Raw genomic sequence first — 13,660 nt, 5'->3', positions numbered from 1 at the left:
AAATAAAATGAAACTTAATTTGGGAAACCTTTCTATAAACCTTTTGTTACCAAGAATTTACCTTCTTATCTGTCTTTTGGAAAGCCAGTCTATTAAAAGTCTGTTATAATTGTTTTGATCTCTCTTATTAATAAATGTCTAAAGATGTGATGCACCATGCAGATATCACTGTCCTTCTGGACCCAGGAGGGCCTCTGACAAACATGGCTAAATCATTTGTCATTTTTGGAAGTTGGCATATATGATTTAGGGAAATGTTGGATTGTTTTCGATTAAAGTGATATAAAAAATTTTTTTTTGATTCAATGAATCCTAGATACTTTTATCAAATATAAAATTCCATTAGGCATACTTGTTAAAATGGATAAATCTTAACTTACATTTCAAAGCATTGCAGGTTTTAAATTACTGTGTTAAGATTTTGATAACAAATTGAATTTCTGAAAATGTGCCTTTTTAAAAATCTTTGTCTTAGAACAATGAAAATGAAACTGCCCTACACTGTGCAGCTCAATATGGACACTCAGAAGTAGTTGCTGTTCTCCTAGAAGAGCTCACTGACCCGACAATTAGAAATAGCAAGCTGGAAACACCTTTGGACTTGGCGGCACTCTACGGACGGCTTAGAGTGGTAAAAATGATCATCAGTGCACATCCTAACTTAATGAGCTGCAACACTCGCAAGCACACGCCACTTCACCTTGCTGCGCGCAATGGCCACAAAGCAGTCGTGCAGGTGCTGCTGGAGGCAGGAATGGATGTGAGCTGTCAAGTGAGTGTGCTTTTAGCTATGCTTTAAAAGTGATGATGCTGTTGCTTGGCTTTGGGATTCAAATGTGAAAACCTGTATGTAGAAATCTTTTAATCAAATTGTTCACAAGTACTTTTGTAACTACTGAGTTCAAGGTACTATGCCACCTACTTTTGGGAAATATGAAGAGCTACAAGGCATAATCTCTAACCTCATTCTAATTTGAGGGCTATACACATGAGAAGTTAGTAGATGGCAGTTGTGTGTGGTATCATTAGTAATTGTTTCCTTTGTCCCAATATCTAGCACACAGCCTAACATACAGTAGGAATCCAGTCAGAGTTTAATGAATGAATGGAACAAAATTCACTTTAACATTGTTGAGTATGTACTTTGTGTTTAGCATGTTGACACATTTAGAATTCAATTCTCACAACTGTCCTTTGGGATTGAGAACTATTAAATTTCAGTTAAGAGATGAGGAATCAGATTCAAAGATTTAAGAAATTTGTCTAAGGACACATAGTTGATAAAACCGGGATGTGAATTTAGACTTACTGATTAAAGTCCAGGCCTCTTTCCACCGTAATGTACTGTTTATACATAACTAATGAAGGAATGATCACTATGCCTAAGGACACTCAGAAAAAAAAAAATGGAAAAGGTGTGATTTGAGGTGAGCTTTGTAGGAAGAATAGGATTTGGATAGGTTTTGTTTCTCCACAAGGAATGGTCAACCTACTTTAAAAAGTTTAATTTAATTTAGTATATTTTATTATTATTATTATTTTCAGACAGAGTCTTGCTCTGTTGCCCAGGCTAGAGTGCAGTGGTGGGTGGCGTGATCTCAGCTCACTGCAGCCTCCACCTCCTGGGCTCAAGTGATCCTCCTGCCTCAGCCTCTCCAGTAGCTGGTGGGACCGCAGGTACACACCACCATACCCAGCTAAGTTTTGTATTTTTTGTAGAGATGAGGTCTTGCTCTGTTGCTCAGGCTAGTCTTGAACTCCTGGGCTCAAGCAATCCTTCCACCTTGGCATCCCCAAGTTCTGGGATTATAGGTGTGGGCTACTGGGCCTGGCCACAGCCTACTTTTGATATCTTGTCTTAAGTTAGCCCCAACTCCAGGGTTAGTCTTTTTTTTTTTTTTTTTTTTTTTTTGCCTTTTCCTCCTTTCATGGTTATTTCTTGGCTTCCAAGTTAATGGCAGCATTCTTATCTTCCAGAGACTTTTTTGCTTTCTGTCATATTGTGACCTTCTCCCCTTATTAGTAAGCCATTGATGTGCAACAAACTATCCCAAAACTTAATAGCTTAACACAATAACTCTTTATTTAGCTCATAATTCTGTGATTGGCAATTTAGTCTAAGCTCAACTGATGGTTCTTCTGGTCTTGGCTGTGTTCTCTTGTGTGTGAAATCAACTGCAAATCAGTTATGTGTTTCTGTTTCAGAGGCTGGCTGGATGTTGTCTAGGGTGATAGGTGAGACTGCCACTTCTCTGTCATGATTCAGCAGGTCAGCCTGGGCTTACTCACATGGCATGCATGGTTCTGAGAGAGAGAACAGAATTGTACAAGGCTTCTTGAGGCCTAGGCTTGGAACTAGTACACCTTCACTTCTGCCATGTTTGCTTGGCTGAAGCAAGTCATAAAGGCAACCCATATTCAAGGAGTTGGAAAATAGAGTCTACCTCTGTATTAGAAGAGGGCGTGAATTGTAAAAGGGTGTGAATACCCAGAGGGACTAAATGTGGCAAATGTTGCAAATAATTACACACTCCAGGTGGAATGCGTGCTCACAGATGGGGTTATATTTCCTAGGAATTGTTCAGAGATTGAATCCTGTATTTCCAGAGTTTTCTTTATTGAATTTAGAAAAATCTCAGGCCTTCCAATCTCAGTTTTAAGGCTAGCACCCTGAACCAGAGCTTGCTTTAGAGCTTTGCCTGCATTATTTAGTAGTTTAGATATTTGTAATATCTTTTCTCAATTTCTTATTTATTCAACTTTGGCAGCCTCTCAAAAAAGCATAAGAATTTTTTCTAACAGTCATATTAAGGAAAAACAGTCTCTCTCCTCAAAGGGGTATTGAAAATAAGTAGGTATGCTTACTATTGTAGGTGACTCACAAAGTTATTTTCCTAAAAGTTGTTTAATGATAAACTAGATGTTTATTGTATAAATGTTGAATTTCTCTAATCTGGATGTACTGCTTTCACACTTCTGTAATATTTTTAAACTTGATTGCACAGACTGCAATATAACCAAGGACTTCCCCTCTGACTGAGGTCAGTAAGCTTCTTGGTATCCCTGACCAAGATCCTTTCATGTTTTGTACTAGATGACATGACCAGAAGGGAAAGAGTTTAAATTCAATTTTATAAATGTATATGATGTGTCCTTTTTTTCTGCAAAACACTGTATTTTGTGCTTTTGGAGAATAAAAAACCAAAACTATCTCTGCCCCACGCTTAGTGGAGGAGACAAAAAATTTGCAAGAATAACTCCCATCCATGACATATAATAAATGCTAAAACAAAGAGCTGTGGATCTACGGGTGAGGAAAATATGGATTTTAAGAGGGAGAACATGAGAAGTCATTGATGGAAGTGACATTTGAAGGGGACCTTTGAAAGTCCAACACGACTTTGAATTTTAGGTGGCCTTTAGCTTGCATATGTGCATTATTTGGCTAAAGAGTATTTTAAAATATTGAATTTGAGTGCTTTTAGATGGGGTAAATGCTTTCCAAGGCTCCGACCTCATTCTACCATTTTATATCATTGCCATTGTCATTCCTTTAGATTGTCTGCTTGGTCCTCACCACATTTAGATTTGTTCTTCACATATCAGAAGAAAGGCAGACAATATGCTTAGATCACTTTGAACACCTAATCAGAAGTATCGGGGTGATGTCTGAGTAAGGTGGACAACTTCTGTGTTGCTATAACCTCTTCTATTGACACTCATTCTAAGAATTCTAGGAAGTAGAACTGACAACATCTTTCTAAAATATATCTCAATGAAATGAATCTTCCATAATATATTTAGCCTTAGTTGATATTTTGCTTTTGTTATTGTTGCTTTGTTCATAGAAAATATGTTGGTTTTTTTTTTGGTCTCATTGCCTTTTTTTTTGGGGGGGGGTGAATATTTAATTTTATTACTCAAATTAATTGTTACCAAGTTTTTCCCATCAGACTCAGTGCAAAATTTTTGAATATCAAGTAGGTTTGTTGATATTCTCACTGGCTGAGAGTGAACAATGTAGCTAGTAGCCTCAAATTGTTTCAGTAGATTTAATATTCATTAAACTGCTCTAGCTAACCTGTTGGGAATTAGTATTAAAAGTAATCCCATTTGGTAAATTATAGTATTGTACTTTTAGACTTCAATTACATTCAAGTTATTATGAATAAATCTTTAAAACTTATAGATGGCTTTTGAGGATCTTGTCTTTTCCTAGTAGTTACATGTGATTTTATTTTATTTTACTTTTTTTTTTTTTTTAAAGGCAGGGTCTTATTCTGCCACCCAGGCTGGAGGGCAGTGGTGCAATCATGCTCACTTCGGCCTAGAACTCCCAAGCTCAAGTGATCCTCCTGCTTCAGCCTCCTGAGTAGGTGGGACTATAGGCATGTGCTGATGTGCTCGGCTAATTTTTTTAGTTTTTGTAGAGAAAAGGTCTCACTATGTTGCCCAGGTTGGTCTCGAACTCCTGGGCTCAAGTGATCCTCCTTTCTTGGCCTTCCAAAGTGCTGGGATTACAAATTTGAACCACTGCACCTGACCTACATATGTTTTTAAATGCAGCATTGATGTTAATATTTGCTCTAGAAGTTTATTTTCTGCATCATTACTCTCTGAGTAATTTTAAATTATAACACATATTTAAAATAGTAAGTAATACTTTGGGCAAATTTCATATCATCTTTACTTATAAACCCTTTAGTCTTTAAATATTTTTTTAATAAAGAGAATCAGTCAAAGTAAGATATTAAGAAAGTAGGGTTGAATGGGCAGTTTTCTCTTGAAGTTAGCAATTATTTTTATGAATTTTGAACTTGATTTTGGGTAACCAGATAGCGATAGTGCCATATCATGCTAGTGCTTTCATTGTGTGAGTTTCTTATAAGTTTCTCTCATAAGACTTGAAGAGTTAAAGAACTAGTACAACCTTAAGCCAATTAGACTTTATGTGACTATTAAAGGAAATGAAAGTAAAATTACAGAAAGTTAATAATAAAAAGTACAAGTTTCCATGCTAAGAGCTGTTAAGATGCAAAACTAAGTAAGATACAGCTTTTGCTCTCAAAGGCTTATAGTGGCACCAGAAATAAGATATGTACATAGGCGATAATTATCCATTATAATCCATTTACTCTCTGATTTCCCTAGATGATAATTTCACGACATCTCTATTCCAAAACTTCAACACCTCCTTCTCTATCATCCCTCTCTGATCATGATACTGCTTTTATTTCACTGAGGAAACCACAAGCAATCACAAATTTCCACCACCACATCTGCCAATGTACCTGTGTCTACTTTCCTTCCTGGTGCTTTAAATGAACCTTTTAGGTTTGTATCTAAGGCTAATTCCTCTCTACTTGTTCATTGGATCCTATCCTTTCTTGTCCACGTGGGAACTCTGACAAATATTTTCTGTCTTTAATACCATACGTTTTTTCTTTCTCAACTGTACCATTTCCATAAGGATGCAAAGATGTAATATTTCTCATCTTTTAAAAACTCTCTTGATCTCACATTTCCTTCTCCTTACCATCCCCTTTCTCTGACCCCTTTGTAGCAACGTAGTTAGAAAAGCTTGTTTTTACTCATTGTATCCAATTTCTTTCCTCCATTCTCTCTTGAGGCCACTCTAACTCCCTCACTTTTAAAAGTCCTTGTTTTTGCCTTTGTCAAGTTGTCTAATGACTGACATACTTTTAGATCCAACAGTCAATTCCTGCTTCTCCTCTTACTTGATTCATCATCAGCACTGACAAAGTCAGTATCTGTCTCTTCTTTGAACCACCGTTTTCTTTTGACCTCTGAGATACGACTGTCTTTTGGTTTTCATTTAGTTCACTGGTGACTTCTTGAAGAAGCTGGGGGAAGTATGTTTGATGCTGTAAGTTAGCCTGGGAATCTCTGCTGCACGTGTCTATTATCTTCCTCCTGGGACTAGGCAGGGGGGCATTGATTGTGCATAAGAGAGAAAGCTCAATCATGCAAGCACAGTTTGGGCCTCTGCTTGCATCATGTTGGTTACCATCCATTGGCTAAATCAGGTCACAAAACCAAGCCTCAAATAAAGAGGAAGAGAAATATACTCAACTCATATAAGTGGAAAGAAGTACAAAGTCATACGGCAAAGAGCATATAAAAGGAGAGGCCAATAATGTAATCTATCGTGTCCCTATTCCATAGTTAACTGCCCTCATCTTCTTGATCTCTAAGCATCGGAGTGTCCCAGGGCTTAGTACTCAAACATCTTTTCATCTCTGTCTATACCTACTTCCTCATTGACCTCATCCAATCTCTTGAGTTCCAATATCATCTTTATCTGACAATTACCAAGTCTATTTCTTCATCTCAGACTCCACCCTAACTCTAAATTTGTGTATGTAATTCCCTACTGGACATATCTATCAGATGACTAATAGGCTTCTCAAACTCAGCATTTCCAAAGCTGAAAATCTAGCATCTGTACCCCTTTCTTCAAAAATTTGCATATCACCAAGTCTTTCCCATTTTGTCAAAAGGCAGTGCCATCCTTCTAGTTGTTTGGCCCAGAATTTTACGGTTTCTTTCAGATTTTACATTCAGTTCTTCAGCAAATCCTATTGGTTCTGTGCTCAAATTGTATCCAGAATTTCACTACTTTACATTATCTTCAAGATTAACACCATAGTCCAAGACCTAATCATCTCTTGCTTCCTGACTAGTTTTCCTCCGTTTTTTTTTTTTTTTTTTTTGGCTTCTGTATTGTCTGCTTAGGTTGCCACAGCAAAATATTATAGGCTGAGTGGCTTAAGCAACAGAAATTTATTTTCTCACAATTCTGGAGGCTACAAAGTCCAAGATCAAGTTCCGGCCAATTCCATTCCTGAGTGAGGGCTTTCTTCCTGGCTTGTTAGATGGCTGCCTTCTTGTTATATCCTCACACGGCCTTTCTTCTGTGCGTGAATGGAGAGAGAGTTCCCTGATGTTTCCTCTTTCCCTTATAAGGACACCAGTTCCATTGGATTAGGGCCACACCCTTATGACCCAATTTAACCTTAACTACTTCCAGAAAGGCCATATATCCAAATACAGTCACACTGGAGGTTAGGGCCTTAGCATGTGAGTTTTGGGGCACACAGATATTCAATCCATAACATATTCCCTTCAGTCTATTTTCAGTCAAACAGCCAGAAGTGATCCCATTCAGTCAGGTAATTTCATTTTCCTACTCAAAAACACTTCTATTGGTTTTCCATTTCACTCAGAGGAAAAGCCAGAGTCCTTATAGTGTCTGATAGGGTTTTATATTACTTAGTTTCACTGTCTCTCTAAAGCTACCACCTACTCTTCTTTGCCCTTCTTCACTTAGCTTCATCCACAGTGACCTTGTTGTTCTTGTTGGAACACATTATGTACACTCCTACCTCCAGGCCTCTGCCTTACTAACCCTCATGACTTTCTTCCCCCTTCTTTCCTCAGGTGTCTTCTCCAATGTCACCTTAATAGTGAGGCCTTCCTTTACTTACCTTACTCACTACCCAAGCAACTCCCTTTCTTTCACTTTTAACTGAACCCTGGCTTCCCTATGAGGATACCCTAGCCCCTCCTGACTTCTCATGCCATGCTACCAGGCACTATGCTCCAGGAGGAAGAAAATTTGTTTCCTGCTCCCATGGAGTTATAGACTAGTAGGGATGACAGAAAATAAGCACATAAACAACATAAAAATGATAAATTGCAGTGAGTGCTATAATGGAAACAAACTGGGTGCTGTGATTGAGACGGAAGGGTCAGAGAGGTCTCTCTTTGGATGTGCTCCTTAAATGAGGCTAACTTTCTAAGAGGCTAGCCTCAGAGGAGTAAGAGATGAAGCCATGAGATAGAAGGGCTTACAAGAAACAGAATGTAGGGAGACAGAAGAGGCTGATTAAAGAATATTCAGGGAGTTTCTGGAAAAAGGTCTGTAAAGAAGCAGTTAAAAGAGGAATGCCAAGACAGCACAATTTCATGTAATCAATTCATTTATCATATATTTATTGAGTGCCTACTATGTGCCAGAGGATATAGCAGTAACAAAACTAGGCAAAAATTGTGCCTAAAAGAGGGAAGATGACTTTTCATAAAGCGTGGAATAAAGAAAAGTAAGATAGCGGATAGAAGCTTGAAGTGAAAGCAGGTTCACAGGAAGTTTCTTTGGTTGTTTGTTTTGTTTTTAAATAGTGGAAAGGTGTGTATGTTTATGGAGAAAGATTGCCTTGAAGATGCAAGAGGCAGAGATGATCAAAATTCAAGAAGCAGCAGAAAGTGATAGAATAAAGAGCACAAGTGGAGAAATAATGTTAATGAAAAGAAGGGTGCTTCCTTTGATATGAAGTGAAGGAAGAGAGAATGAGTAAAGACCAAGACTTGAAGTCCCTAGTTTAATAGAGGGAGATTTCTTCTTTTGAATAGCAACAATGGTATTCTGAATTATTTGAAGACATGTCATATTTCTCTTGTGCCATTTTCCTCCCAGTTTAAACATTCTTATAACCTTTATTCTTCACACGATGTTTTTCTAGGTCCTTTATTCTTTGGCACTCTCTTCTCTGGACACATTGTATTCTGTCATTGGTCCTAAAAGTTAGATACCCACAATTGAACATACTCCTCTAGATATGGTCTAGATAATGCAAAAGAGCTGCTGCCTTCCAACTTGTTCAGACATCATATGTTTGTTGTCAAACACTAAGTTGAGTTGTTATCTTTTGTTTTTTTTTTTTTTTTTTTTAATTCCAAGAGGTGCCCACGTGGCTAAGTACCAAACAGGGTACTAGGGAATTTTATTTCTGAGTTAAATGCCATTCTAGTTGTTTTTTCTTCATCTCCAGTAAGGTTATCTTTATTTACCAGTTGTTACAATAGTTGTGGGTCTTGCTTCTCACAGTTTTATGCTATCTGTGCTATTTTCTCTGCTGATCGTCACCACAATCATTATTGCTTATCATAATTGTTATCTTTATTTTCTCCTTTAATCAAGAATCGGTCTTTATCTCATTATTCTCTTTCGCAGGCTTCAGGATAATTATGGTTGGAGTGCTAAATTTGGAAGGGGAAACCAGTGCAGCTAAGCTCTGACATCTTTGCATCCCTTTTCCATCTGCTGTTTTGGCACTCTGGTAGAATAGATAACCTAAAAACGACTTTAAAACATCTAGAAATTTTGGATAAAATATAACAAACATCCCTTTAAATGCACAACTGAGCTTCCATGGAAGTCACAGAAATATATAACGCCAAAAAGAAGGGAAGCTGAAACCCAGGGCTGTAAACATGAACGTCATCTTCTCTCCCTTTTGCTTGCGACTTATCTTGTTTTTCTCAGCTTTGGTGCTACCAAGGCTTGACTTTAACAGGCATTTCCAATCAATGAGAGAATTTCTTTTGCTTTCATCAACAATTCAGTTATTGATGTTAACATATATATCATTTCAGTACTTTTCGCTCAGCTGTTTTCATCACTGTGTTCAGAGGTTTGTCTTTTTTTTTTCCCCTAAAAGGTGCTGAGATGTTATGAGTGCTTTATGTGTGGTTACTGGATAAGTTTTGAAATGTCACTGTGTTATAAACTGCATGATTATCGATTTTGGAAATTTTGTTTTTTTTAAATGATTAATTTAAATAAAATGGAGAATTTTGATCCATAAGAAAAGCAGGACTGAAATCTCCAGGGATGGGAGCCTTTGGGTTCACCTTGTTCAGTGTTGTTTCTTTGTAGACTTCCTACTTTCTTGTAAAATGTTTTGGACTAAATATTTCACAAGAATAGAATTTTTCAAGGTCTGGCCGGTTATGGGTTGTAGATTTGGGGCAGAATGCTGAGATGTACAGAATAGTGCTCATTTGAGTGAGAATATTAGACAATTAGACACGGACTCTGTCTAGGGTGTGATAAGCCACAAGGCACTTGATTTTTTTTTAAATCTTACTTTACACCTTGGCAAAATATTCTTAAATTTTTCTAATCTCTGATGAAAAGAAGGAAATTATTACAAAATTAATCTATATTTTGAAAAGTCCATGGGTTTGACATATTTACATTCTGTACACTATGTGACAACATTGTGATAGCAGTAAATAGTTCTTGGTACCATTGTTTACCTTAGAATTATGAGACCAATCCATTCCATTTGACAGTTCTCATGTTCTCTTACCAAAGAAGCTAATTACAGCAACCTTGAATTTGTAAAAACAGATTCATTTTTACAGGCTAAAAATATGTTTATCATCTACTAACCTTTTCTGTTTTTATTGAAGAATTCTGTGTCTTCTTATTGTATGAAAACATTAGTTCTACTTAACATAGCATTTTTATCTTGGAATAATGTAAAGGATATACATGTATGTAATTAATATTAACATAATTGAGGTTACTTTTAAAATAGGTTTTCTAATTGCTTTTTTAATAGAAATATTATTGATAATACTTGTCATTACTTTATAGTTTAATAAAACACTTAAAAAATCTTATTTGTTGTATGTTTATCTTATTTAACCTTCCCAATAACCATATTAGGTTTTTAAAATTTGTATTTTATTTTTAATTTTTCCCACACAACATGGATGTATCTGTTAGGTTTTTAATATGTTTCTCATAGGATATATGAATTTTCAGAGATACTAAAAGCCAAGCTGCCACTGGAACCCAGGTTTGCTCCATCTGCTTTTTCCAGAAAGAGATTTGTTTATTTATGGTGGAGATTATGTATTTTCATTGTCTAGAATATAATAGTTCCCCCTACCCCTGCCGCCCACCCAACCTTTATCTGATGTTTAGTTTTCTGCTGTTTCAGATACCTGCAGTCAACCATGGTCTGAAAACATTAAAAGGAAAATTATAGAAATAAACAACTTATAAGTTTTAAATTCCATGCCATTCTGAGTAGCATGATGAAAACTCTCACCATCATACTTTGTCCTGCCTGGGACATGAATCATCCCTTTGTCCAGCATCTCTGTGCTGTAGACACTACTTGCCTATTGGTAGCCCTCTTGATTATCAGATCGACTGTTCTGGTATTGCACTGCTTGGGTTCAAGTCACCCATATTTTACTTAATAATGGCCCCAAAGCACAAGAGCAGTGATGCTGACAATTTGCATATTCCAAAGAGAAGCTGTAAAGTGCTTCCTCTAAGTGAAAAGGTGAAAGTTCTTGACTTACTAAAGAAAAGAAAAACTTGTACACAGAGGTTGCTAAGATCTATGGTAAGAATGAATCCTCTATCTGAAGTTGAGAAGAAAGAAAAAGAAATTTGTACTAGTTTTGCTGTTGCACCTCAAACTACAGAAGTTACAGCTATAGTGCACGGTAAGTGCTTAGTTAAGATGGAAAAGGCCTTGAATTTGTGGATGGAAGACATGAACAGAAATGAATTCTGATTGATGGCATTCGGGTTCAGTACTATCTTTGGTTTTAGACATCCACTGGGGTGCTTGGAATATATTCCCTGTGTATAAAGTGGGACCTTTTCCGTGTCTACAGTGTGCATCATCCTTTATCAAAGTATCTGTGAAGCCAAATCAGTGCCAAAAGTAGACACTATCATATTTTTAAATATTTGTTTAGATTTAGCCTCATATTAACCATTCTCTTTATTTATCATTACTTCTTGCATCTCAGTTCCTTTTCTGAATTATATCCTATAGAAGTTCTTTCAGTAAGAGTTGTAAGTAACCACTCATTTTTAGTCTGTCTGAAAATGTTTTTATTTTACTCTCATTTTTAGAAGGTAGTTTGACTGAATGTAGAATGCTAGGTTGATAGATTTTTTTTCTCTTGTCACATGAAGGTATTATACTTTCTTCTGACTTTATTATTTATTTTTGTTGTGAAGTCCGCTATTGATCTAATTATTATTTCTTTTTAGGCAATTTTTTCCCTCAGAGTGTCTTAAAGTTATTATCTTAGTAGTTTTGTAGTTTTACTGTGATATGTCCAGGATGTATTCTTTTCATTTATCTTGCTTGCTGGTCCTGGAACTTAGTGTCTTATCAATTATGTAAAGTTCTTAGCCACTGACTATTATTTACCTCTATCTTCTTCCTCTAAAATTGATTAGACATATGTTGAATCCTCTTATTTTATTCTATCTTTCATATTTTCCATCTCTTATTTCTTTTTTACCTTCTTTGCTTATTTGTTTCTGTAGTCATTTAAAAAATTTTAAATGTAAAATTTTTGTGGATACATAGTAGGTATATATATTTATGGGTTCATGAGATATTTTGGTACATGTATGCAATGTACAATAATCACATCATGGAAAATTGAGTATCCATCCCCTCAAGCATTTATCTTTTGTGTTACAATTATTTATTTTTAAATGTACAATTGAATTATTATTGATTATAGTGCCCCTGTTGTGCTATCAAATACTAGGTCTTATTCATTCTTTCTATTTTTTGTACGCTTTAACCATCCCCACCTCCCTCTAACCCCTGTGCCCCCACTACCCTTCCCAGCCTCTGGTAACCACCCTTCTTTATCTCTGTGAGTTCAATTGTTTTGATTTTTAGATCTCACAAATAACTGAGAACATGTGATGTCTGTCTTTCTGAGCCTGGCTTATTTCACTTAATATAATGATCTCCAGTTCCATCCATGTTGTTGCAAATGACAGAATCTTATTCTTTTTTGTGGCTGTATAGTACTCCAAGAAAATGTGTGTGTGTGTGTGTGTGTGTGTGTGTGTACCACATTTTCTTTATCCTTTCATCTGTTGATGGACACTTAGGTTGCTTCCAAATCTTGGCTATTGTGAACAGTGCCACAACAAACATGAGATTGTAAATATCTCTTCAAAATACTGATTTCCTTTCTTTGGGGTAGATATCCAGCAGTGGGATTGCTGGATCATTTGGTAGCTCTATTTTTAGTTTCTTGAGGAACCTCCAAACTGTTCTTCATAGTGGTTGTACTAATTCACATTCCCACCTACAGTATATAGGATTCCCTTGTTTTCACATCCTCACCAGCATTTGTTATTGCTTAACATTTGGATAAAAGCCATTTTAACTGGGGTGAGGTGACATTTCTTTGCAGTTTTGATTTGCATTTCTCCGATGATCAATGATGCTGAACACCTTTTCATATACCTGTTTGCCATTTATGTGTCTTCTTTTGAGAAATGTCTATTCAAATGTTTTGCCAATATTTTAATTGTATTATTAGATGTTTTCCTGTAAAGTTTTTTTGTTCCTTATATATTCTGGTTATTAATCTCTTGTCAGATGAGTAGTTTGCAAATATTTTCTCCTATTCCGTGGGTTGTCTCTTCACTTTGTTGATTGTTTCTTTTGCTGTGCAGAAGCTTTTTAACTTGATATGATCCCATTTGTCCATTTTTGCTTTGGTTGTTTGTACTTGTGGGGTATTACTCAAGAAATCTTTGCCGAGACCAATATCCTGGAGATTTTTCTCAAAGTTTTTTGGTAGCAGTTTCAGAGTTTGAAGCCTTAGATTCAAATGTTTAATCCATTTTGATTTGATTTTTGTATATTGTGAGAGATAGGAGTCTAGTTTCATTGTTCTGCATATGGATATTTAGTTTTACCAGCACCATTTATTGAAGACTGTCTTTTCACCAGTGTATGTTCTTGGCTCTTTTGTCGAAAATGAGTTCACTGTAGGTGTGTAG

At 36.2% G+C, this 13,660-nt stretch overlaps 1 protein-coding gene across 17 annotated transcripts in view; it reads left to right on the top strand.

The window, feature by feature from the left end:
• ANKS1B (ankyrin repeat and sterile alpha motif domain containing 1B) overlaps nt 1–13,660 on the top strand; it is a 1,250,151-nt gene that overhangs the window by 177,761 nt on the left and 1,058,730 nt on the right. For all 17 annotated transcript variants that reach the window (XM_006719514.5, XM_006719507.5, NM_152788.4 and 14 more), the window contains exon 4: nt 476–772. In XM_006719514.5, coding sequence (XP_006719577.1) covers nt 476–772 — 297 coding nt within the window. The remainder of the gene's footprint in view (nt 1–475; nt 773–13,660) is intronic.

This window comes from Homo sapiens, chromosome 12 (assembly GCF_000001405.40).
Source record: "Homo sapiens chromosome 12, GRCh38.p14 Primary Assembly".
Classification (NCBI taxonomy): Eukaryota; Metazoa; Chordata; class Mammalia; order Primates; family Hominidae; genus Homo; species Homo sapiens.
Note: the sequence above shows the minus strand (reverse complement) of the source record. Positions and strands in the feature narration are given on the sequence as shown.